We start from the raw sequence: 24,424 nt of genomic DNA on the forward strand, positions 1-24,424 counted from the left end.
TGCAACCTCCGCCTCCCAGGTTCAAGTGATTCTCCTGCCTCAGCCTCCCGAGTAGCTGGGATTACAGGCGTGCGTGCCACCACGCCCGGCTAATTTTTTTTTTTTTTTTTTTTTTTTTAGTAGAGACAGGGTCTCACCATGTTGGCCAGGCTGGTCTCGAACTCCTGGCCTCAAGTGATCTGCCCATCTTGGCCTCCCGAAGTGCTAAGATTCCAGGTATGAGCCACGGCGACTGGCCCACCTGTCTAATTTTTAAATTTTTTTAAGACGCTGGGTCTCACTATGTTGTTCAGGCTGGTCTTTAACTCCTAGGCTCAAGCGATCCTCCCACCTTGGCCTCACAAAGTGCTGGGATTACAGGTACGAGCCCCTGCACCTGGCCACAACCTATTAATAGTAATAATAATAATAACAACATGTCCCCCTGTCCTTCTCTGGCCTCACTGAGTAGTCCCAGGCTTTCCCCACATGCCTCTCAGGACTTAGTTTCCCCATCTCGATGCTCTCTCAGTCCCCTCTCTTGCTGGGTGTCCCAGTGGCCAGGATGGTGGGTGGCACCGCTATCTTCCCGGCCTATTTGCTCTCCCTCTTCCGGGGCTGCTACCCTGGCCAAGGCCCTTGAATAAAAGGCAAGGGCACCTGTGTCCTGCTTCCTTCTCTCCTGCCTGGATCATGCTCTGGCTCTCTCTGCCCTGTTGCTCCTGGGAGCACTGGCTGCCCCAGCAGGTAAGCGCGTCATGGTCCATCAGAAAGGGAGAGGGTCGGCTCAAGGTCACATGTGGTGTTGGGAGTCTGGCTTCAGAGTCTGGGCCCCAGGTCCTTCCAACTGGGCTCATTGTCTAGCAGGCAGAAGAACAGGGCAGCTGAGAACCTAGTTCTGGAACCAGGCTGCCTGGGTTCAAATCCTGACTCTGTCACTTCTTAGCCGTGTGACTCCAGACAAACCACATAACCTCTCTGTGCCTCATTTTTTCCATGTGTGAAGTGGTGACAATGCCCCTGCCTCAGACAGTTGTTGAGACATTGGTTGAATCCACACGTTTGAGGAGCTCAGAACAGTGCCAGCCTGGCAGTGGCTCTGTTTGAGGGTGAGCTCTGCTGGATTATCCAGGAGCAGTTACTGTTACTCTTTTACCTCACCTGCCTGTCTCCCCTTTGGCTCTAATTCTGCCACCTTTGCCTGAGTTGGGAATTAAGTGGTTTGGATCCTAGCCAGGACCTCACTGTGCGATCTTGAATTGAAACCCTAAACCCAGCAGCTCCCACTTAGAGATTCTGTGATTCTCATCTCCAAACCTTTGTCTGCGTTGTTTCATCGACTTGGAATGCCATTCGCACTCCTCACAACAAAGAAGGTTGCTGATCTCCCAATGGCCCTCCCACCTCAGCCCTTAGTCCTATTCTTTTTTTTTTTTTTTTTTTTTGAGACAGGATCTCACTCTGTTGCCCAGGCTGGAGTGCAGTCGTGCAATCTTAGCTCACTGCAGCCTGAACTTTTGGGCTCAAGTCATCCTCAGCTTCCTAAATAGCTGGGATTACAGGCATGAGCCACCATGCCTGATTAGTCCTATTCTTGAATCGTGTGTGTGTGTGTGTGTGTGTGTGTGTGTGTGTGTTCTTTGTCCTTCTCAAACTGCAGAGTCTGATCACTGTTTTCTTCCTTGCAGGAAGCTCTAAGACATGTCCAGCCTGCTCTTTGCTGTGAACCTGCATTGAAATAACTTGTCCTTCTGCCCAGGACTTCTGCTTGTTTAGCCAGATGCAGCTGGGTGGGGGACCGGGCTGGGGACTGGACAGGGGCTGGGTGGAGAGAATGGACAAAGGCAGTGGGTGGAAGGGGGGCATGGATGAGCCATCCTGGGACTGGAGATTGCCAGCCCTGCCTCATAGCTCAGCCTGGTGCTACTGGGGTAAAGGGCAGAGGGCAGCTGAACAGCAAAAGAGGCCCTGGATTGGCCAGGGGGATGGCTATAGAGTGGGCAGAGGTCCTGGAGGGCTTGGAAAGCAGGGGCCCTAATCTCCCTTCCTCAAACTCTATCCCTAGAAAATGGGACTCTCATTGAGAAGGGGTCATGTGTGGCCCCTGGAGAATGCTAAGAAGGTGTCTACGCCCTGACCTACAGCCCCCATGCAAGCCTCTGGGTCAGCACAGCCTCTTGTGAAAACAACTGCAGCCACCTTCCCCAGTAAGGTTTGTTGGGAGGACCTCAGGCTCACACACCAGGGTAGGGTGTCATGGGGACCCAGCCTCAATTTCCTGCCTCACAGCTTTTTGTCTGGCTGATTGGGGCAAGAAGGAGACTCTCAGTTTTCTCATCTGGAAAATGGGTGTGATGTAGGTTTTAAAGGGTGTTCATCCCCTAGGCTGGCACGTGGTAGACACTCCTTTTGTTGCCATGTTTATTTGAATACTGGGAGGCTAAAGAGAACTCCAAGCTCTTTTCTGTTTCTCTGTCTCTCTCTCTCTCTCTCTCTCTTTTTGAGACAGAGTCTCACTCTGTTGCCCAGGCTGGAGTACAATGGCGCAATCTTGGCCTACTGCAACCTCCACCTCCTGGTTCAAACGATTCTCGTGGCTCAGCCTCACGAGTAGCTGGGATTACAGATGTACACAACCACGTCCGGCTAATTTTTGTATTTTTAGTAGAGTCAGGGTTTCGCCATGCTGGCCAGTCTGGTCTCAAACTCTTGACCTTCAGTGACCTGCCCGCCTGGGCCTCTCAAAGTGCTGGGATTACAGGCATGAATCTCTGTGCCCCGCCTCTCTTTTTGTCTTTAATAGAGGGGCTCCCCTTGAAGGCTAGTCAAACAGAACAAGAAACCTCACAAGTGGTGATAGGCCCAGGTCTAGGGGAGCCCAGCCAGGAGCCCAGGATGCAAAAATGTTTATTCTTTATTTTTTATTTTTATTTTTTTTGACAGAGTCTCACTCTGTCACCCAGGCTGGAGTGCAGTGGTGCGATCTTGGCTCGCTACAACCTCTGCCTCCTGGGTTCAAGCAATTCTCCTCCCTCAGCCACCTGAGTAGCTGGGATTACAAGCACATGCTACCACACCAGGCTGATTTTTTTTGTATTTTTAGCAGATATGGGGTTTCCCCACGTTGACCAGGCTGGTCTCCAACTCCTGGCCTCAAGCAATACACCCACTTTGGCCTCCCAAAGTTCTGGGATTACAAGTGTGAGCCCTCATGCACAGCCCCAGGGTGCAAAATTTAAGGAGATGCTCACGCTGAGGGGATAGCCCTCTACTTGCACAACCCTGAAAAGTCGTGCCTCCTTAAATTTTGGGCCCCTGGTTTCACCCTAGATCTGGCCCTGGGTGGTGACAAAGATCACTTTTCGTTGCTTGGTTATTTCTTCTAAGAAGGAATTTGTACTTGGCAGATGTAGCAATGGGGAGAGGTAGCCATCCTTTCAAACAAGTGCGATTTCCCTCCTCCTAATTTGTGTCTAATTGCCCTCCTAAATTGTGTCTCTCAGCAAAATAAAACCCCCAGGTTCAAGTTACGAGGTGGGCATGCTATTCAGTATATAAAATGTCAGGTATGATTATAACTGCATTAATTTTTTTTTTAGACAGTCTTGCTCTGTCGCCCAGGCTGGAGTGCAGTGGTACAATCTTGGCTCACTGCAACCTTCACCTCCTGGGCTTGAGCAATCCTCACACCTCAGCCTCCTGAGTACCATGGCTACAGACATGTGCCACCATGACTGGCTAATTTTTTTTGCATTTTGTAGAGATGGAGTTTCGCCATGTTGCCCAGGCTGGTCTGGAACTCCTGGGCTCAAGTCTTCCACCTGCCTCGGCCTCCCAAAGTGCTGGGATTATAGGCATAAGCCATTGTGCCCAGCCTCGGTCTCAAACACTCCTTGCAGCCCCTGAAAACTTATTCTGGGGCCAGGCGCAGAATCACTTTGGAGGGAAATGATCTGGATTGTGGGAGTAGAGGCAGTGAGAGAGGGAGGGCAGGAGAACAGAGGCCTAGTGAGGAAGGATGGCTGTAGGGGTGTTCCTCAGCCCCCACCCCGCCCTGACTTTGTCCACTCCCACCAGAGGCAGGGCCCAAGGCCAAGCCCAACACTGTGAAATGTCACTACTGTTCCAGGAATAAGTCGGCTCCATGAACTGCACTGGGAAACAGACTGCATGTGTCACCCTCCACGGGACCTGGAGTAGAGGTAAGGGCCCCTTCACAGGAGGTGATTTTTGTGGCAGGTTTCTTCCCACCTGCACAAATAAGGCTTGAGCTTCATTTGCACGTGCGTCCTGGTTATGTATTGCCATTTAACAAATCACCCACAGGCCAGGAGCAGTGGCTCACACCTGTAATCCCAGTACTTTGGGGGGCTAAGGTGGGAGGATTACTTGAGCCCAGGAGTTCAAGACCAACCTGGGCTACATAGCAAGTTCCCATCTCGAAAACAAAAACAAAAACAAAAAAACCCCAAATCACTCACAAGGTGGGTGGCTAAAAATGACAATCATTTAATGATCTCTTCCAGTTTCTTTGGTTTGGGAATTCAGGAAGAGCTCCTCTGGAGAGTTCTGAGTCTCTCGTATGTTGTAGTCAGAGGGTGTTAAGAGCTGGAACTGCTGGGGCAGGAACAACCAGGGGCTTTCTGAGCATCTCTTGCATATATGTAAGCACAGGCCTTTCTATGTGGCCTCTCCACATCGGTTAGATTGAGCTTCCTCCCATCATGGCTACCTCAAGGCTCTTTACATGGTGGCTAACGATTTCATTCAGCAAACAAAGTTACAGCTGCTTGGTCTTTATGTCTCAGCCTTGGAAGTCACATAATGTAACTTCTATTCTGCTTTATTGATCAAAATGGTCACAAAAGTTCCATCTGGTTTCAAGATGAAAGAGGCATGGACCCCACCTGTTGATGTGTCATAGATTTGCAAAGGTATTTTTAAATCACCAGTATGATTTGCAAACAGTTGGAGGAGAGGCCTTTTCAGCAAAAGATTTATAATATAACCACAGTAGCCAGAGGATAGACTAATTATGAAGCCAATCAAAGGATCGAGAGCAGTAGCCTGGGCTTCTGCTTTTGGCAGTATGGTGGACTCAATCCTCTAAAAGGTCTTCTGCTCCAAACAGTGGCACACTGGGAAGGTGGAGGACTGAGACAGTGAAATAGAGGAAGTGGCCCATCATGGTTGGGAGGAGCAGTTTATCACTGACATTGCTTAGAATTGCTGGTACTACCTGGTGATAATAAAAAGCAAACTGATTTTTAGTTGGTTTTATGATTTAAAAAAATTCTCTATAGGCTGGGCACGGTGGTTCATGCCTGTGATCCCAGCACTTTGGGAAACTGAGGCGGGTGGATCACTTGAGCACAGGAGTTCGAGACCAGCCTGGCCAACATGGTGAAACCCCATCTCTGTTAAAAATACAAAAATTACCTGAGTATGGTGGCACACACCTGTAATCTCAGCTACTTGGGAGGCTCAGGTAGGAGTGAGCCGAGATTGTGCCACTGCACTCCAGCCTGGGTGACAGAGTGAGACTCTGTCTCAAAAAAAAAAAATTCTCTATAGACACTAAGCCCCTTGTAGCCTGTTCCCAGGCTGGACTGCTCCCACTCCCTTCCCCTGCTTGGTATGCCACTGTTTACAGATAAACAAGATCCTGTACAGAAATATTTTTCCACACTTTTTGGGGTTGCAGAAAGTTAAGAAAATGTCCACGTGTCCCTAAGCAAAACAAAAATGTGAACAGAAATCATAATGGGAGCAGTGAGAAAACATGGAAGGCATGGTGGCCTGGGAGCAAATGCTGATAATAACCTGCTTTAGGTAAACAGGTCTTGGGCTGGCAGCATGCTTCTGGAATTTAGATTCCCACATAAGCAAGGGACCTCGGACAGAAGCCAAAATGATCCCTGGTCAGTAGCACCTCCTGGCACTCAGTAGAATCAAAAGCAATTCCTTCCCAGGGAAAAGCTCCCAGGATTCCCACAGATGAATATCAACCAAATATGAGCTCACAATCATAGTTCATGAAACGCACAAGGAAACAAGCCACCATGAGTGATAGCAGAAATAACAAATCACAGATACAGACCTGTGAGGAGCTCAGCTATTGTAATTATCAGCTGTAGAACATAGCGTACCGGCACGTGATATGTCTGAAGGAATAAACTTAGAATCACAAATGTGAGCAGGCAACAAGAGGTTGTAAAAACTGACCAGGTAGATTTGAAACTGAATCATATAGAACTACTAAGATGGCAACTTTCAGATAGCGAAAGATAGACATCAAGTTGGAAGGCTTGGACTCTGAGCCTCTTGTTGCAATCTCATCTCATTTCCACAGGGGGTCCCCAAATTCTGAAGGGCTGTGCTACACCAGAGGTCTGCAACTTACATGAGAATGCCACCCTGGGTCCAGAAGACTCTGGATTTCATCTCACCGCTAAGCCTGAATGCAACTGCCTTACTCCTACACATCCAGGTGCTTTGACCCCTGCCTTCCTAAAAACCCAACCTTTCTTACCTCCCTGGATCCCCTATGCTCTTTTCAAACCTATGTGTTCCCAGGGTGTCCACATTTCCTACGATAATGCTCCCAATGAGTACAGTTACCCATACACACACACACACCACCTGACACACTCAGAAGCAGAACATCTATTGGCACATATCCACAAACATCCACATTTACATCCTAGCACCCAAAACAAATATGCAGAGGCACACAAATTTCTAAACATGAACATACTCTGAACATATTATGTGAGTGAGGTTAAAGATCCACGTTCTCTTTAAATGGATCTGAGCCTGGGCAGCATGGCAAAACACCATCTCAACAAAACAACAACAACAACAAAACAAAGCCAGGCATGGTGGCATGCACCTGTGGTCCCACCTACTTGGAAGGCTGAGGTGGGAGGATGGCTTGAGCCCGGGAGGCGGAGGTCGCAGTGAGCTGAGATTGTGTCACTATACTCCAGCCTGGGTGATAGGGCAAGACCCCTTCTCAAAAAAAAAAAAAGGAAGAAAAGAAAAGATAAATCTGATGGTGTTTTCCCTCTTTTCTTCACTTCCTTGCTTGTGAAAGAAGACAGATTTGCCAATAGTCTTCTTTTGGCTTAACAAAGAACAGTCACAAGAAGTTTTGTCTTCCGCAAAAGTGATATGCTAATTGAAATAGTATTTACTGGGGCCACAGTTTATTAAGCAATTCAACCAACTGAACAGAGGGATAGACGTTTTAGAGGTGAGAAAGGCAATTTTCTCTGGATACAGCTGCATTCCCTCAGCTCCAGAGATGTAGAGGAAACTTTGTCAGAAACTACACCAGAAAGGACCATTCTCTCTCTCTGTGTGTGTGTGTGTGTGTGTGTGTGTGTGTGTGTGTGTGTGTGTGTGTATGTGTGTTTAGAGACAGAGTCGCCGTCTATTACCCAGGCTGAAGTGCAGTGGCACGATCATGGTTCAATGCAGCCTTGACTTTCCAAGCTCATGCAATCTTCCCACCTCAGCCTCCTGAGCAGCTAGCACCACAGGCACACACTGCTACACCCAGCTGATTTTTCAATTTTTTTTTTAGAGGTGAGGTCCTCCCTACGTTGCCAAAGCTGAAGAACCATTCTGTGATGCAAAAGAGAGTGTGTTTACTGGCCGGGCGCGGTGGCTCATGATTGTAATCCCAGCACTTTGGGAGGCCGAGATGGGCGGATCACGAGGTCAGGAGATCGAGACCATCCTGGCTAATACGACAAAAGCCTGTCTCTACTAAAAATACAAAAAATTAGCTGGGCGTGGTGGCTGGCACCTGTAGTCCCAGCTACTCAGGAGGCTGAGGCAGGAGAACGGTGTGAACCCGGGAGGTGGAGCTTGCAGTGAGCCGAGATTGCGCCACCGCACTCCAGCCTGGGTGACAGAGAGAGACTCTGTCTCAGAAAAAAAAAAAGGCTGATAGGAGAGTGTAGTTACTGAATTTGCAGGCAAAGCCGAAACATTCTCACCTTAGCTTCTTCAAATCTCCAGCTGCCAGGAGTTTTCCTTTTTTAAACTAAGCAATGGATTTTTTTTTTTTTTTTTTTTTTTTTGTGAGACAGAGTCTCTCTCTGTCGGCCAGGCTGGAGTGCAATGGTGCGATCTTGGCTCACTGCAACCTCCACCTCCTGGGTTCAAGCGATTTTCCCTGCCTCAGCTTCCCAGGTAGCTGGGATTGCAGGTACCCACCACCAAGCCTGGTGAATTTTTGTATTTTTAGTAGAGATGGGGTTTTGCCATGTTGGCCAGGCTGGTCTCGAACTCCTGACCTCAGGTGATCCACCTGCCTAGGCCCCCCAAAGTGCTGGGATTACAGGTGTGAGTCACTGTGACCAGCCCTGAGCAGCGGATTTAATTAATTATCACAATGAAGAAAAAAGGCTGACTTGGGAGCTCGAAATTTACAAGATGGAAAGAAAAAGGGCAAAATAGGAAGACTAACAACAGAAATGTGGGACGCGGAATTTTTGCACACATGATCCCTGTGGACACAGACACAGAACATATCTATGCATGGACACACAGGCTTTCATATATATGACATGGGAAAGAGACAGGCATAAACACCCACAAACATACAAAAGCACAAAATATACACAGGCAAGCTGAAATACATTACCAACATCCATGAACGTTCACATCTGTATACCAACATATATATATATACAAGCACCCCCACACCTTGATGGAAACACAGACACACCCAGCCACAGAAACACACACATACCCATAAAACCAGCCTTATACACATACACATAAACACACGCCTTTGTTTATACAGACACGCAGGTAAACACCTACTCACACAGTGTCCTGCAGAGCTACAAAAACACACATCCCTGACCTCCTGCAGACAGTTTCAGAAACACACAGACAATTCAACACAGGAAGGCACAGCCAGATGTGCACACAGACTTAACAGGCCTGCAAACTTGCACACACAAATGGCATTCTTGCAGAAGTGCGCACAAAAGGCACTTTTGCGCACTCATGGGCACATACTGATGTGCCTGGAAACTCAGCTCCATGCACGTGCATGCACACTGGTTGTCTTCCATCCAGTTCATCTTCCTCTGTCCCCAGGTCCTCATGCAACTGTGACCCACACCAAAGCTGAGACCACCGACTGCTTCACCTGCTGAGACCTCCACAGCTGTGGCCCCCTTCCATGCCCAGAGGATAATCACTACTGCCTTCAGATGGCAGGCATCACAGGTGAGTGCCCATGGGGACAGAAATAGGGCTTGGGGTACAGCAAGACCTATCCTCACTCTCCCACTTTGCTGCCTAGCTTCAGCCATTGTAGCCTTTTCCTGGACATGCAGGGCAGAGGCTAGGGTGCAGTGGAGGGTGTGAGTTTGAAATCTGCTGCCATAGTTGTTTAAGTTACTGCTGAATAACAAACTGGCCAGAACTTAGTGGCTTAACCAGTCATAAAAAGACAAATACTGTATGATTTCACTGAGTTATCTAGAGTAGTCAAAATCATTGAAACAGAAGATAGAATGGTGGTTGCCAGAGGTTGGGGGACGGGGGAATGGGAGTTGTTCAATGGGTACAGAGTTTCAGTTGTGCAAAATGAGTTCTAGAGAGCTGTTACACTCAACAATGTGAATATAGTTAACATTACTGAATTGTGCACTTAAAAATTGTTAAGAAGGCCAGCCGGGCGCAGTGGTTCATGCCTTTAATCCCAGCACTTTGGGAGGCCAAGGCCAGCGGATCATCTGAGGTCAGGAGTTCAAGGCCATGCTTTGAACCTTGTCTCTACTAAAAATACAAAAATTAGCCGGGCTTGGTGGTATGCGCCTGTAGTCCCAGCTACTTGGGAGGCTGAGGCAGGAGAATTGCTTGAACCCGGGAGGCAGAGGTTGCGGTGAGCCAAGATCACACCACTTCACTCCAGCCTGGGTGACAGAGTGAGACTCCGTCTCAAAAAAAAAAAATTGTTAAGAAAGCCACACATGATGGTTTATGCCTGTAATCCCAGCACTTAGGGAGGCCAAGGCAGGAGAATCACTTGAGGCCAGAAGTTCAAGACCAGCCTGGGCAACATAGTGAGACTCCCCCCATCTCTATTTTTTTAAAAAAAACATTAAGAGGGTATATTTTATACAGTGTGATTTTCAAAAAAAAAATCACAATTGAAAAAAAGCTTCTTGGATTAGACAAGTATTTGTTATTTCTCACAATTCTGCAGCTGACTGGGCTCAGCTGGGCAGTTCTTCTGCTCTAAGTGGTAAAGGCTGAGGTCACTTATGTGATTGCATTCAGCTGGGAGCTTGACTGCACCTGGAATGTTTAAGACAGCTGGGGAGAGCCTCGCTCCTCTGAGCTCTCACTAGTCAGTTTCCTAGCTTGAGCTTCCTTATAGTACGGTGGCCGGCTTCTGAGAAGGAAGAAGTGGGAACAACCAGGCCTTCTAAGGGATAGACCCAGAACTGTCACAGTGTCACTTCTGCCACAGTCTATTGGTCAGAGCAAATCCCAAGGCAGGCTCAGATTTAAGGGGTGACGTAACAGATTCCACCTCTTGATGAGAGAGTGGCAAGATTATGTTGCACAAGAGCATGCAGGATGGGAGATACAGTTGTGGCCATCTTGGTATCTACTACAACACTCTGGGCAGGCAGCCCCACTTAAGGCTCCTGTCACTCTCTCCCCATAGAAGGAAAAGTGGACTCTTCTGTAAACGGGAAGAGGAGTTGAACTTGAAACCGGCTCTTTGCTATCTTTTTACAGCATAAAGAGACATAGTAAAGATAGTGTTCCAGGCTCCAGTTCTGGACATTTCTGGGATCTTAGAGAAGTTTCTTACTAAGTCCATGAGGTGCTCATAGACAGGGTGGGGAGACCTCACAGATACAGAGCCACCCTATTAATTGAAACCCTAAGGAGAGAAGGCAGGGGATCATGGAAGGCTTTCTGAACTATGTGATTTTTAACTGTTGTTGTTGTTTTGAGACAAGGTCTCACTCTGTCACCCAGGGTGGAGTGCAGTGGCACAACCTTGGATCACTGCAGCCTTGACCTCCTGGGCTCAAGCGACCCTCCCAAGTAGGTGGGACTGCATCACTATGCCTGGCTAATTTTATTTTATTTTTTGTAGAGGCGGGGGGTCCCACTATATTGGCCAGGCTGGTCTTGAACTCCTGGGCTCAAGTGATCCTCCTGTCCCAAAGTGCTGGGATTACAGGCATGAACAATTGCCCCAAGCCTGAACTTAATGTGTCTTAATGAACAATGACCAGCTTTGGATGTATTATGGGGAGATCTCAGGCAGAGTGAATGCCATCAGGGAAATACTCAGAGAGATTTGGGGAGTTCGGTTGGGTGGTGGGTTGTGATTGCCTTTCCTCACTAGCCTGGCCTCCATCTCTCTCCAGGCTTTGGCGAAGGTAACCCTGTCTCCTGGAGAAACGGTTTCTGCGTGACCTCCAAGGACTGCAAATTTGGCAACTCCATCTATGCCCTGACCTATGGTGTTGGCTTTGGCTTCTGCGTCAACACCACCTGTTGCCAAGGCAACTACCAGGAGCCCACCCCTCTCGGTATGCTGTCACCAGAAAGCAGTCAGATGGGTGGCCAAGGAGGTGGTGGGTGACTCTGGAGGCAGAGTTGAGGAAGGAATGCAGGAAGGAACATCACTCAACCCCAACCAGGCTGCCCTCAGGCACCCTGATCCCAGCTTGGGAGGAAATCCCACCAAGGTCATGACAATATTAAGTTCGTGACAATGTGGTAGAGCCTAGGAGTGCACTCGGGGCCCCGGGAGGTCCTGAGATTCCTTCTGACTGACCTTCATCCTCTTCTACACAGCAGCTCATCTGGCCTCACACACCCTGAGTGAGATATTGTGTCCTACATGTCCTGGGAGCTACTTGGAGCCCTGCAATTCCTCCTTCTACATGCAGTGTCCCAGTGGGGAATCTGAGTGTGTCCAGCTGGACCTAACGTCTGAAGAAGGTAATGGGGACAGCACATGTGTGTGTGTGTGTGTGTGTGTGAAGAAGGTAATGGGGACAGCATGTGTGTGTGTGTGCACATGTGTGTGTGCACGAGTGAGCCTTAGCACGTTAGATTTGGATACTGGTGTGCTTGAGTTTGGAGTCTCCCCTCCACCCTTTACTCTGTGTAGCTCAAGGCAAGTGACTTTATCTCTTTGAGCCTCTGTTTTCTCTTCTGGTAATTGGGGATGGTAGACACACACCTTGAAGGGCGTTGTGAGGACAAAGTGAACTCATGAGGGAGGTGACAGAGTAAAGGGCATAAGAACAGGACTCTAGGGCCAGGCTGCCTGGGTTCAAATGCTGAATCCACCACCTGAGCTGGGTGACCTTGACCAGGTGACTTTGCCTCTCTGTGCCTCAATTTCTCCATCTGTAAAAGGGGATAACTTGGTATGCAACAAGTTCTTTAAAAAACAGGGGAGGGCCGGACGTGGTGGCTCACACCTGTAATCCCAGCACTTTGGGAGGCCAAGGCGGGCGGATCACGAGGTCAGGAGATCGAGACCATCCTGGCTAACATGGTGAAACCCCATCTCTACTAAAAATACAAAAAATTGGCCGGGCGTGGTGGCAGGTGCCTGTAGCCCCAGCTACTCAGGAGGCTGAGGAAGGAGAATGGCGTGAACCCGGGAGGCGGAGCTTGCAGTGAGCCGAGATGGCGCCACTGCACTCCAGCCTGGGCGACAAAGCGAGATCCCGTCTCAGAAAAAAAAAATAAATAAAATTAAAAAACTGAAAAAAATAAAAGATCTTTGGACTCAAACAGACCTGGGTTTGTGGTGTGGATTCACAATTTATCTGCAGTGTAGTCTTGGACAAGTTTCATAACCTCGTCTCAAAAAAAAAAAAAGAAAAAACAACAACAAAACGGGAATAACAACAGTCGCTAAGTCCTAAGACTGTTGTGAGAATTGAATAAGATAATCCACTAAACTATATCAGTGCTTTCTGAAAGAAATGTAATGTAAGACACGTGTGTAATTTAAAATTTTCTGGGCCAGGTGTGGTAGCTCACACCTGTAATCCCAGCTCTCTAGGAGGCCAGGATCGCTTGAGCCTGGAAGTTTGAGACCAGCCTGGGCAACAGAGGCAGACCCTATCTCTACAAAAAATTTTCAAAATAATTAGCTGGGCCTGGTGCTACGGCCTGCAGTCGCAGCTACTCAGGAGGCTGGGGTGGGAGGATCACCAGAGCCCAGGAGGTCGAGGCTGCAGTGAGCTGTGATTGTGCCACTGCACTCCAGCCTGGGTGACAGAGCGAGACTCTGTCTCATTTTTTTAAAAAAAGTTTTTAAAAAAGGAAACAAACATTGCACACGAGTGAAAACACACCTGTAACATACGTGTAAGGTAGAAAGAGTGACAACGAGAGAGAGACAGCCGTGACCAGCTCCCAGCTCAAAGAAAAGAACATTCCTGATGAGCTTTCACGAAGGACATGGACTCGAGGGGCTCGCGGGCCCTGTGCGTGTGCAAGGCGCGCGCGTGTGCGCTTGGGTGCGCGCGGGGGTGGCCTTCTGCCTGCGCGCGCCCCCACGTCCCCTCCTTGCACCCTGTCTCCGTCTCGGCAGGCGGCCGGAACGTGAACGTACGCGGCTGCGGCTCCCGAGACCTGTGCAGCGCCCTGGACTGGACCCACGGGCTCTCTGTGCTCCCAAGACACTGGCTGTCGAGCCACTGCAGCCCCCACCGCCGCGCCGTCCTAGAGTCCCACTGCCGCTCGGGCGCCGCGCCCGGCCTCCGCCTCTCCCTCCCGGTTCTGGTGGTAGTCCTGGCAACCGCGACGCTGTGCTAAGGAATCCCGCCTGGACCACCCCGCCGCCCGGGAGGCCCCCTCCACCTGCTTGTTCGGCACGTCGCTAGATGGTGCCCTGGCTCCCCTCTGCTGGGGCAATGCGGAGACCTGGAAGCCTCTGGTGAGAAACTCAGGAAGCAGGGATGAGCTTCCTCCCTCAGACTAGCGTTTCCCAAAGCCAGACCTTCTGCTCCAGACTCAGGGCTTACTCAAGGCTAAGTCCTCTTTCCTCACACCAGGGTCCCAAAGGCCATGCCTCCATCAGCCTAGGGTGTGTCTTCCCCGCTCAGACTAAGGCCACTCACCTGCTGCTGAGATCAGGCGTCTGCTCAACTAAGTTGGGGCGGGGCGCTATACCTCCCCCCTCAGATTAGCACCTTCCCCAAGGCCAAACCTCCTCCCTCAGAAGAGGGCTGTTCTTCTTCCTCAAGTTACTAAGCCTCCTTCTTCAAACGAGGGGATACCCAATATCCGGCTGCTCCCAGACACCAGGGATGTGTCTCTTCTCCCACACATTGACAAGCAACTTCTCTTTTGTTCTCCCTGTTTGGGGTCTAGCAAAATCCTGGGCAGCCAAGGCGGGGCTTGAGGATCCGATACACCCTCTTCCAAGGTTTTCAGAGCAGCCTCCTCCACCCCCACCATGGGCCAAGACGGGGCAGGGGGCATGGGTGGGGTGAGGAGCCCCTCTTCTGTGTGGGCCCAATCTCCCAGCTGTAACCAGATCTGAATGAATCACATCTCACAATGCCAAGTGGTTTGAGTTTCCTTTTTCTGAAGTTTTAGCCTCAAAGAGGGCCCTGATGTGGTCCTCTCTCCTCTGAGGCCAGGGGAGGTTAAGTTACTTCAACTGGTGAACCTGGAGGGGACAAACCGACAACAGTGTCTGGCCAGGGTGGGCATAAGACCAAATGCTGCATCTGGAACTGAACTCAGAGGATTGAGCGGAGAAGTGAAACTGGGTTGCTCACCACAGGCAGAATGCCAGGAACCATTTGCTTTCTGCTGAAAGTGGCTGAGCGCAGTGGTTCACGCCTGTAATCCCAGTGCCTGGGGGCTATGACAGTGGGAGGGAGGGCTACCTAAGAAATCACTCCAGGCCATGCACCAGACAGATTAGGCGGCGTGGCTCTAGGGGGCTTGAAAGAGACCGCCCCCGCCAGGCGCAGTGGCTCCCGCCTGTAATCCCAGCACTTTGGGAGGCCGAGGCCGGCAGATTACTTGAGGTCAGGAGTTTGAGACCAGCCTGGCCAATAGGACGAAACCCGTCTCTACTAAAAATACAAAAACTTAGCCGGGCATGGTGGCGAGTGCCTGTGTTCCCAGTCACTCAGGAAGCTGAGGCAGGAGAATCACTTGAACCTGGGAGGCGGAGGTTGCAGTGAGCTGAGATTGCGTCACTGCACTCCAGCCTGGGCAACAAAGCGAGACTCCGTCTCAAAAACAAAAACTGAAAGTAACAGAAAGCCCAACCGAAAGAATAGAAACAATTCATTTAACATTCATCTAACAAATCTTTATCAGTCACAAGCTATGTATTCTTTTGTAAATGAGACACTGGCGATACAGACAAAATTCTGTGCTCTTATGGAAGTGGTATTTTAGTGGAGGAGACACATAATAAATAAATATCACATATCGTACATCACATATCAGTGAGTACTAGGAAGGAAACAGTGCGGGGAAGGAGAATGGGGAACGCTGCCAAAGAGATATGATCTTATACATGGTGAGTAAGAGCCTCAGTAAGGTGACGTAAGTAAAGACCTAATTGAGGAAGTAAAGACCTACGTGGGGCAAGGGAGAAGGCCATGCAGTTGTCTGAGGTGGGGGAGGAGGACATTCCAGGCAGAGGGAACTGGAAAGGCAAAGGCTCCAAGGCAGATGCAGTAAGAAACAGTTAATGTGGGTCAGACGCAGTGGTTCATGCCTGTAATCACAGTGTGATTTTGGGAGGCTGAGGTAGGAGGATTGCTTGAGGCCAGGAGTTCAAGACCAGCCTGGGCAATATAGCAAGATCCCATCTCTACAAAACATTGAAAAGTTAGCCTAGCATGGTGGTGGACTACAGGTATAGCTGTAGTCCCAGCTGGTCAGGAGATCAAGACCATCCTGGCTAACATGGTGAAACCCCGTCTCTACTAAAAATACAAAAAAAAAAAAATATTAGCCAGGCGTGGTGGTGGGCACCTGTAGTCCCAGCTACTCGGGAGGCTGAGGCAGGAGAATGGCGTGAACCTGGGAGGTGGAGCTTGCAGTGAGCCAAGATCGCGCCACTGCACTCCAGCCTGGGCGACAAAGTGAGACTCCGTCTCAGGAAAAAAAAAAAAATTAAAATAAAAAAATTGAAAAAAAATAAAAGATCTTTAGACTCAAACAGACCTGGGTTTGTGGTGTGGATTCACAATTTATCTGCAGTGTAGTCTTGGACAAGTTTCATAACATCTCTGAGCCTTGTGTTCCCATATTGTAAGGTGTTATTGTAAGGTACATTAAGCACAAGGCTTGGCCCACCCTAAGCTTTCAACCAATTGAAATAGTCATGTCTTCAGGTTGTTAATCATGAGGACTGTGCTATTATTTATCCACATTGTATAGAGGAAGAAACTGAGGCTGAAGGAGGCTAAGAGACTGCTAGTATGAAGAACATTGGGACTGAACACACATCTGTCTGACTCTAGAAGATAAAATTTCCCCCCCTTAAACATTAAGAAAATGTCCAAATATACACAAAAGTAGAGAAAATAGTATAATATCTATGACAGACTGATACCCCAATCTATGATGGGACCAAAATGTGACTGAGCCCAGAGCCCATAGCAGGCGCCCAGGAGATGTTTGCAGCTGGAAGCAGTCATTAAATGACCCTTCAGTATCAATCTCTCAGTGTCCAAAATTATGCACATTTTGCCAAATTATCTCTCTCTTCCTTCCCCCTTCCCTGCCTCCTCCTTTCCTACACCTTCCCCTCTTCCTCCCTCCTCACCTCTCTCTTTTGCTTTTTTTTTTTTGAGATGGAGTCTCTTGCTCTGTTGCCCATGCTGGAGTGCGGTGGCGTGATCTCGGCTCCCTGCAACCTCCGCCACCCAGGTTCCAGCGATTCTCCTGCCTCAGCCTCCAGAGTAGCTGGGATTACAGGCACGCATTACCGTGCCCAGCTGATTTTTGTATTTTTAGTAGAGACGGGGTTTCACCTTGTTGGCTAGGCCTGTCTCGAATTCCTGACCTCAAGTGACCCGCCCGCCTTGGCCTCCCAAAGTGCTGGGATTACAACGTGAGCCACTGCTCCTGGCCTTTCCTTTGCTTTTACCCTCCCTCCTTTGCTCTTTCTCTCTCCCTCCTTCCTTTCTCCCTTCTTTCCTCCTCTCTCTCTTTCTCCCTCCTCTCCTTCATACTTCTTTCTTCCTTTCTCCCTTCTTGCCTTCCTATATTCCCTCCCTCTTCCCTTCTTTCCTTTTTGTGCTGAGACATTTAAAGCAAATCCCAGATATCATATTTCACCCATAAATACTTCCCTGTGCATCAGAGCCCATGCTTTCGACTCTTGTAGGACGGACACATCCTTTCTGGGAGGGAGGATGGAATAAAATAAAGCATACTGAGAGCTTAGCATAACCCACACCCATCCCTGCCTGTTTGCAGAAGGCCTAGAATATCCTAATCCTTCAGGGGAGATCTCCCTTCACCCATGGATCTGTGACATTCTTCTAAATCCTTCATAGAAAGCTCATATCAAAAGTGACTAGTTCACCTGTCTCTACAAAAAAATCAAAAATTAGCCTGGGTGTGGGGGCACACACCAGTGTTCCCAGCTACTCAGGAGGCTGAGGTGGGAGGATCACTTGAGCCTGGGAGGTTGAGGCTGCCGTGAGCTGCGATCGCGCCACTGCACTCCAGCCTGGGCGACAGAGTGAGACCCTGACTCAAAAAAAAAAAAAAGTGACTAGTTGAATATGCGTACAAGAGACATAGCCACAGAGCTCAGCATAGTGGTTCAGAGGATGTACTCAGGTTCCAGTCTGTCTGGGTTCGAAAGCCAACACTTTGCCAGTTACTAGTTGTTTTTTTGTTTTTGTTTTTGTTTTTTACCTTTGGAAACAGAGTCTCACTCTGTCACTCAGGCTGGAGTGAAGTGGCGCAAACTCAGCTCACTGCAGCCTCTGCCTCCCAGGTTCAAGTGATTCTCCTCCCTCAGCCTCCCCAATAGCTGGGATTACAGGCGTGCCACCATGCCCAGCTAATTTTTGTATATTTAGTAGAGATGGAGTTTTGCCATGTTGCCCAGGCTGGTCTCCAACTCCTGAGCTCCGGCAATCTGCCTGCCTCGGCCTCCCAAAATGCTGGGATTACCACCATTTTGTGAGCCACTGAGCCCAGTCACTAGTTCAGTTACTAGTGGCCTCAGGTGAGTACCTTGACCTCAGCTTTCCCATTTGTGAAATGGGACAATAGTGGTTCCTGCTCACAGAGTGGACACAAAGGTTGAGAGAGTCCACACATACACAGAACTCAGAACAGCGCCTGGAATTCAGAGTTCAACACAGGTAAATGGTGGCCCTTACTGTCATTATTGGGGAGGGGGAGTGCCCTTTGGGTCATGGGTCCCGTTTCTGTCTGTTACCCAACATGGCCTCCCGTTGTGAAGGTTGCCTACCCCAAGGTATGGGTGTGAAGGAACCTGGGGGTGGTGAGGAAGGAAGCAACATCTCTGCCAGACTGGAGTCTCGGGGGATGGGTCCCGGATATGACCTGTCCTGGCTGAGTCCAGAGTCCATGGCAGGTGGTCAGGAAACATTTGTGGAAAACAGTCATTTAATGGTCCTGGAATCTGCAGGGGTAAAAGGGACTTTGGGGATGGGGTGGGGCTAACCTGGGTGAAGAATTTGATGTTATTGTACATTGCTAATTTTCCATAGGGGCATACATGTAGGCATATTATTCAAGTTTTAAAATTTTACTATAAATTATTTAAAACAAACAAAAACAAATAAAGAATAAGTGGAGTCTCTTGGCACTCAGTTGAAAGACAAGAAACATCAAAACATTTGAAATACATACCCAGTGGCCATAGCTGTCCCTGGCCACAGCTCCTTTCCTCTCTCCTCACCTGAGATCACCTCTATCCTGAACATGGTATTTCCAATTTTGCCACCTACAGGCATGCTTTTGATTTTTTTTTTTTCAGACAAGGTCTCACTCTGTTGCCCAGGCTGGAGGGCAATGGTGCTATCAATAGCTCACTGCAGCCTCAACCTCCTGGGCTCAAGTGATCCTCCTGCCTCAGCCTCCTGAGTAGCTGGGACCACAGTCATGTGCCACCATGCCCAGCTCTTTCTTCCTTCCTTCCTTCTTCCTTTCCTTTCCTTCTCCTTTCCCTCCCCTCCCCTCCTTTCCCCTCCGCTTCTCTCTCCTTTCCTTCCTTCCTTTCTTTCTCTCTCTCTCTCCCTCCCTCCCTCCCTTCTTCCTTTTTTTTTTTTTTTTGAGATGGAGGCTCACTCTGTTGCCCAGGCTGGAGTGCAGTGGCATGATCTCAACTCTCTGCAACCTCCGCCTCCCAGGTTCAAGTGATTCTCTCAGCCTCCCAAGTAGGTGGGACTACAGGTGCATGCCACTGCTTCTGGCTAATTTTTTTTTTTTTTGTATTTTTAGTAGAGACGGGGTTTCACCATGTTGGTCAGGCTGGTCTTGAACCCCTGACCTCAGGTGATCCACCCGCCTCGGCCTCCCAAAGTGCGGGATTACAGGCATGAGCCACCATGCCCGGTTCCTTCCTTTCTCTTTCTGGTCTCCCTATGTTGCCCAGGCTGTTCTCAAACTCCTGAGCTCAAGCAACTTTCCTGCCTCGAACTCCCAAGGTGCTGGGATTACAATTATCAGGGTGAGCCACTATGCCCAGCCACCTTTAATTTTTTAAGGAAAGTTTTCTCTTCTTTTCTGCTTGGCTCTCTCCTCACCTTTCTCTTCTCTCCCCCACAGACTCCTTCATAGGGGTGCTCATAGCTCACTGCAGCCTTGATCTCCCGGGCTCAAGTGATTCTTCCACCTCAGCCTCCCACGTAGCTGGGACCACAGGCATGCACCCTCATGCTGAGCTGTATGTATATGTTTTGTAGAGATGGGATCTCACTATGTTGCCCAGGCTGGTCTCGAACTACTAGGCTCAAGCGATCTGCCCACCCTGGCATCCCAAAGTGCTGGGATGACAGGCAAGAGCCACTGTGCCTGGCCAACTCTCTGCATCTTGCTTTTCTCAACCCTCCGAGTCATTTGATTCACCCTTTCTAATGGCTGTGTGGTGTGGTTTCCATGGCCTATGGCATGGATCTACCAACATTTATTCAGCAGTCATCGTCCTATTGAGGGGAATTGACGCTGTTTTCTCTTTTGTCCCTCCCACTATGAGAGATGCAGCAGTAAACATCCTCCTGACAAGACAGTTATCATCTGTTATGTGTCTCTGTGTCCTGAATAATTTCTAATGAATTTTAAAAGTTTGGGGCAGGTGCAGTGGCTCACACCTGTAATTCCAGCACTTTGGGAGGCTGAGGCTGGTGGATCACGAGGTCAGGAGTTCGAAACCAGCCTGACCAACATGGTGAAACCCTGTTTCTACTAAAAATACAAAAATTAGCCGGGCGTGGTGTTGCATGCCTGTAATCCCAGCTACTCAGGAGGCTGAGGCAGGAGAATCGCTTGAATCCAGGAGGCGGAGGTTGCAGTGAACCAAGATTGCACCACTGCACTCCAGCCTGGGCAACAGAGCAGGACTCTGTCTCAGAAAAAAAAAAAAGCTTGGATATCATATCCCTTTCATGCATGTTTTAAAAAATTCAAAAATGTGTAATTAAATGAAATTGAAAGTTACACTTAAAAATTAGAAGTAAGAGGCCAGGTGCGGTGGGTCACACCTGTCATCCCAGCACTTTGGGAGGCCAAGGTGGGAGGACCATTTGAAGTTGGGGGTTTGAGACCAACCTGGCCAACATGGTGAAACCCTGTCTTTACTGAAAAATAGAAAAATTAGCCAGGTGTGGTGGCGGTCACCTGTAATCCTAGCTACTCCGGAGGCTGAGGCAGAATCGCTTGAACCTGGGAGGCATAGGTTGCAGTAAGCTTAAATCATGTCACTACACTCCAGCCTGGGTGACAGAGCGAGACTCTGTCTCAAGAAAAAAAAAAAGAGAGAAGAAGTAAGAAACAGTGAAGTGGCCCTCACCTCCCCGGGTGTGCCCCACTCCCCATGTGCCATTTCCATCCAGATGGGGCCCCCTAGACATCCTTTTTCCCCTGCAGGCTCCAGGGAGTGGTCAATGAAATTCCTTCAGTCATGAAAAGTTCCATCAGATAGATCTTTAGGAGCAGGGGTGCTCAACTGAAGGAAATGTGTGCGTTTAATTCATTAATAAGTGTTGTCAGATTTGCCTCAAGTGTTTCATCTGGGGCCTTCCTGCATGGAGAACACCTATTTCTCTCCATCAGGCCGAATCCAACTTCCCAGCCATCCCTTCTGCCTCCTCCCACCCTCTCTCTCTGAACCTTCCAAGGTCACAACGTGGGGTTCTGACCAGTGTTGCGCTGAGCCACGTGGGGCCTGACACAAAAGGCACTATTTACCCATGCCCCTCTGTCATGGTTTCATTTTTGTTTTGTGTTTTTGAGACAAGGCCTGGCTCTGTTGCCCAAGCTGGAGTGTACTGGCTTGATCTCAGCTAAATGCAACCTCCGCCTCCTGGCCTCAAGCCATCCTCCTACCACAGCCTCCAAAGTAGCTGGGGCTATAGACGCCTGCCACCAAGCTCAGCTAATTTTTGTAGAGACCGGGTTTTGTCACGTTTCGCAGGCTGGTCTCGAACTCCTGGGCTGAAGCAATCCGCCCACCTCGGCCTCCCAAAGTGCTGAGATTACAGGTGTGAGCCTCTGCACCTGGCCTTCATGTAATTTTTTTGTTTTTTTGAGACAGAGTCTCTTTCTGTCACCCAGGCTGGAGTGCAGTGGCATGATCTTGGCTCACTGCAACCACCGCCCCTCGAGTTCAAGCAATTCTCCTGCCTCAGCCTCCCAAGTAGCTGGAACTACAGGCACATGCCACCATGCCCAGCTAATTTTTGTATTTTTAGTAGAGACAGGGTTTTGCCATGTTGGCCAGGCTGGTCTCACACTCCTGATCTCAGGTCATCTGCCCGCCTTAGCCTCCCAAAGTGCTGGGATTACAGGTGTGAGCCACCGTGCCTGGCCCTTCATGTTTTTTCAGTGGCTAATTTTTTTCCAGAACATTAAAGTAGTCAAAATAATATTGAAAAATTCTTGAGTGGGTGTATTAAAACTCACGCTATTTCAAGTTAAAATATTTTAATTACAACAATATAAAATGTATTATAATTTTATTTCAGCTTAAGTTAATTAAAAATTATTGAACATCATCACTTGGTTAAGAGAAATTGTCAAGCGTGGAGATTCTCTCAATTGAAAATGAAATAAGCCAAGATGTAGATTTTGAAAACATTATTGATGAGTTATTTTTCCATCAAAGCTGGAGTGTATATTTAGGGCTTGGTGTGGCATTGGTCTTTATTTAGAATTTTGATATTTTGTTCATGAAAATATCAGGGCTGGGCACGGTGGCTCACGCCAGTAAGCCCAACATTTTGTGAGGGCAAGGAGGGTGGATCACTTGAGGTCAGGGGTTTGAGACCAGCCTGGACAACATGGTGAAACCCTGTCTCTACTAAAAATACAAAAATTAGCTGGGCATGGTGGCAGGCGCCTGTAATTTCAGCTACTCAAGTGGCTGAGGCACGAGAATCGCTTGAACCCGGGAGGCAGAGGTTGCAATGAACCCAGATCACACTCCAGTCTGGGCGACAGAGGAAGACTCTGTCTAAAAAAACAAAAGAACAAACCATGGATTTTTTGGCATTAATTTTTATTAGTTAAAATATTGCATTAAAAATTGCATTAAAATATAATTTATCTCAATGACTCAATTTTTCGCACTCCCTTAAATTTTGCACCCAAGGCCAGTTCCTCATTGTCCTTAGTTCTGACCAAATTGAGTCACTGAATGTAGAAGAGTCCCACCTCACTCCTGGCTTGTTTCTGGAAAGCCTGTGGGTTGGCTGGGCTCAGCTGTATGGTTCTTCTGCCCCCCATGTGGTGTTGGCTGGGGTTACACCTGTGCCTGCATTCAGCTGGAGCTCATCTGTGGCTGAAATGTCCTGGATGGCTTCAAGCTCATCTCCATGTGGCTGCAGTCTCTACATGAGGTCTCTCCAGCACGGTAGCAGGACCTCTTTGCATAGTAGTTCTGGAGAAAGAAGGAGAAAACAGGAGCTGCCACCTGTTAAGGCCTGGGCTTGGGAGTCCCAGAGTGTCACTTCTTGTGACAAAGAATGTCACCAGACTGGCCCAAATTTAAGGGAAGGGGAAAGAGACTCTGCCTCTTGCTAGAAAGAGTGGTACATGCCCACAGGGAAGGGAAAATTGCCAGTGGCAGTCTATCCCTTCCCCAAACCCCTTCCCCAACTGCCCACCTCTATCCTCTTGCTTGCTTTTTCTTTGTTTTTCTTATCATTACTTGACACTATCTTAATTACTTTTGTTTATAAGCTCCATGAGAGCAAGGACTGTTTTTGTTTTGTTTTTTGTTGTTTTTTGAGACAGAGTCTTGCTCTATCACCCCAGCTGGATTGCAGTGGCACAATCTCGACTCACTGCAACCTCTGCCTCCTGGATTCAAGCAATTCTCATGGCTCAGCCTCCCGAGCAGCTGGGACTATAGGTGCCCACCACCACACCTGACTATTCTTTTGTTTATTTATTTATTTATTTATTTATTTATTTATTTATTTATTTCGTTATTTACTTATTTTGTAGTTTTAGTAGAGATGGGGTTTTGCCATGTTGGCCAGGCTGGTCTCAAACTCTTGACCTCAAGTGATCCACCCACCTCGGCCTCCCAAAGTGCTGGGATTACAGTCATAAGCCACCATGTCTGGCCCTTTTTCTTCTTTTTTCTTATCACTACTTGACACTATCTTAATTACTTTTGTTTATTCTCTACATATTTAAAAAATATATAAGCTCCACGAGAGCAAGGGCCTTCTGTGTCTTATTCATCACTGTATCAGTACCTAAAACTGTGCCTAGCACCTAAAAGGCAGCCAGTATTTACATGAATGAATGAATGAATGAATGAATGAATGAATCCCTGAGGACTGACTTCAGGTTTACCCAGGTTGTGGAGAGTGGAGAGAAGGTGGAGGCCACCACATGTAGATATTCCTAGGAAAGTGCTTTAGAATTTCTAAGAGACACAGAGAGAAAGGGCAGGGAGGAAAGGAGGCTTGGGAGTGGGCAGAAGAAATCGTTCAGGGACTGTCTTTTTCACTGCTGTGTCTCCAGCCTCGACCAGCCAGGGCCTGACTCACAGTAGGTGTCTGGAAAGCATGTGTTGAATGAATGAACTTTCTCCAAAAATCCTTCACTGACTCCACCCCCACCCCCAGGCTGGGTCAGGCAACCCCCATGGCTCCCACACCTCTCTGGGCAGCTTCAACCCCATTGTAACCACTGTGGGTCATCACTGTCTGAGGACGGAGGTGTG

At 48.7% G+C, this 24,424-nt stretch overlaps 1 pseudogene across 1 annotated transcript, besides 4 other annotated features; it reads left to right on the forward strand.

Annotated features, from left to right (window-relative positions):
- The first annotated feature begins 1,438 nt into the window (after positions 1 to 1,438).
- Positions 1,439 to 14,575, forward strand: LOC105372412 (phospholipase A2 inhibitor and Ly6/PLAUR domain-containing protein-like; annotated as a pseudogene). The gene is made up of 7 exons (NR_172891.1): positions 1,439 to 2,191; positions 4,109 to 4,181; positions 6,332 to 6,469; positions 9,100 to 9,231; positions 11,403 to 11,567; positions 11,836 to 11,982; positions 13,598 to 14,575. The product of NR_172891.1 is annotated as a phospholipase A2 inhibitor and Ly6/PLAUR domain-containing protein-like (transcript).
- Positions 14,494 to 14,994: an enhancer, noted in NCBI's record as "H3K4me1 hESC enhancer chr19:44204596-44205096 (GRCh37/hg19 assembly coordinates)". NCBI's record gives its function as "activates a minimal SCP1, AML or CMV promoter by ChIP-STARR-seq in primed H9 embryonic stem cells {active_cell/tissue: H9 hESC(primed)}" and the evidence as "EXISTENCE:reporter gene assay evidence [ECO:0000049][PMID:30033119]".
- Positions 15,353 to 15,402: an enhancer, noted in NCBI's record as "active region_14733". NCBI's record gives its function as "activates an Ori minimal core promoter by ATAC-STARR-seq in GM12878 lymphoblastoid cells {active_cell/tissue: GM12878}" and the evidence as "EXISTENCE:reporter gene assay evidence [ECO:0000049][PMID:35858748]".
- Positions 15,413 to 15,462: an enhancer, noted in NCBI's record as "active region_14734". NCBI's record gives its function as "activates an Ori minimal core promoter by ATAC-STARR-seq in GM12878 lymphoblastoid cells {active_cell/tissue: GM12878}" and the evidence as "EXISTENCE:reporter gene assay evidence [ECO:0000049][PMID:35858748]".
- Positions 15,553 to 15,612: an enhancer, noted in NCBI's record as "active region_14735". NCBI's record gives its function as "activates an Ori minimal core promoter by ATAC-STARR-seq in GM12878 lymphoblastoid cells {active_cell/tissue: GM12878}" and the evidence as "EXISTENCE:reporter gene assay evidence [ECO:0000049][PMID:35858748]".

This window comes from Homo sapiens, chromosome 19 (genome assembly GCF_000001405.40).
Source record: "Homo sapiens chromosome 19, GRCh38.p14 Primary Assembly".
Lineage (NCBI taxonomy): Eukaryota > Metazoa > Chordata > Mammalia > Primates > Hominidae > Homo > Homo sapiens.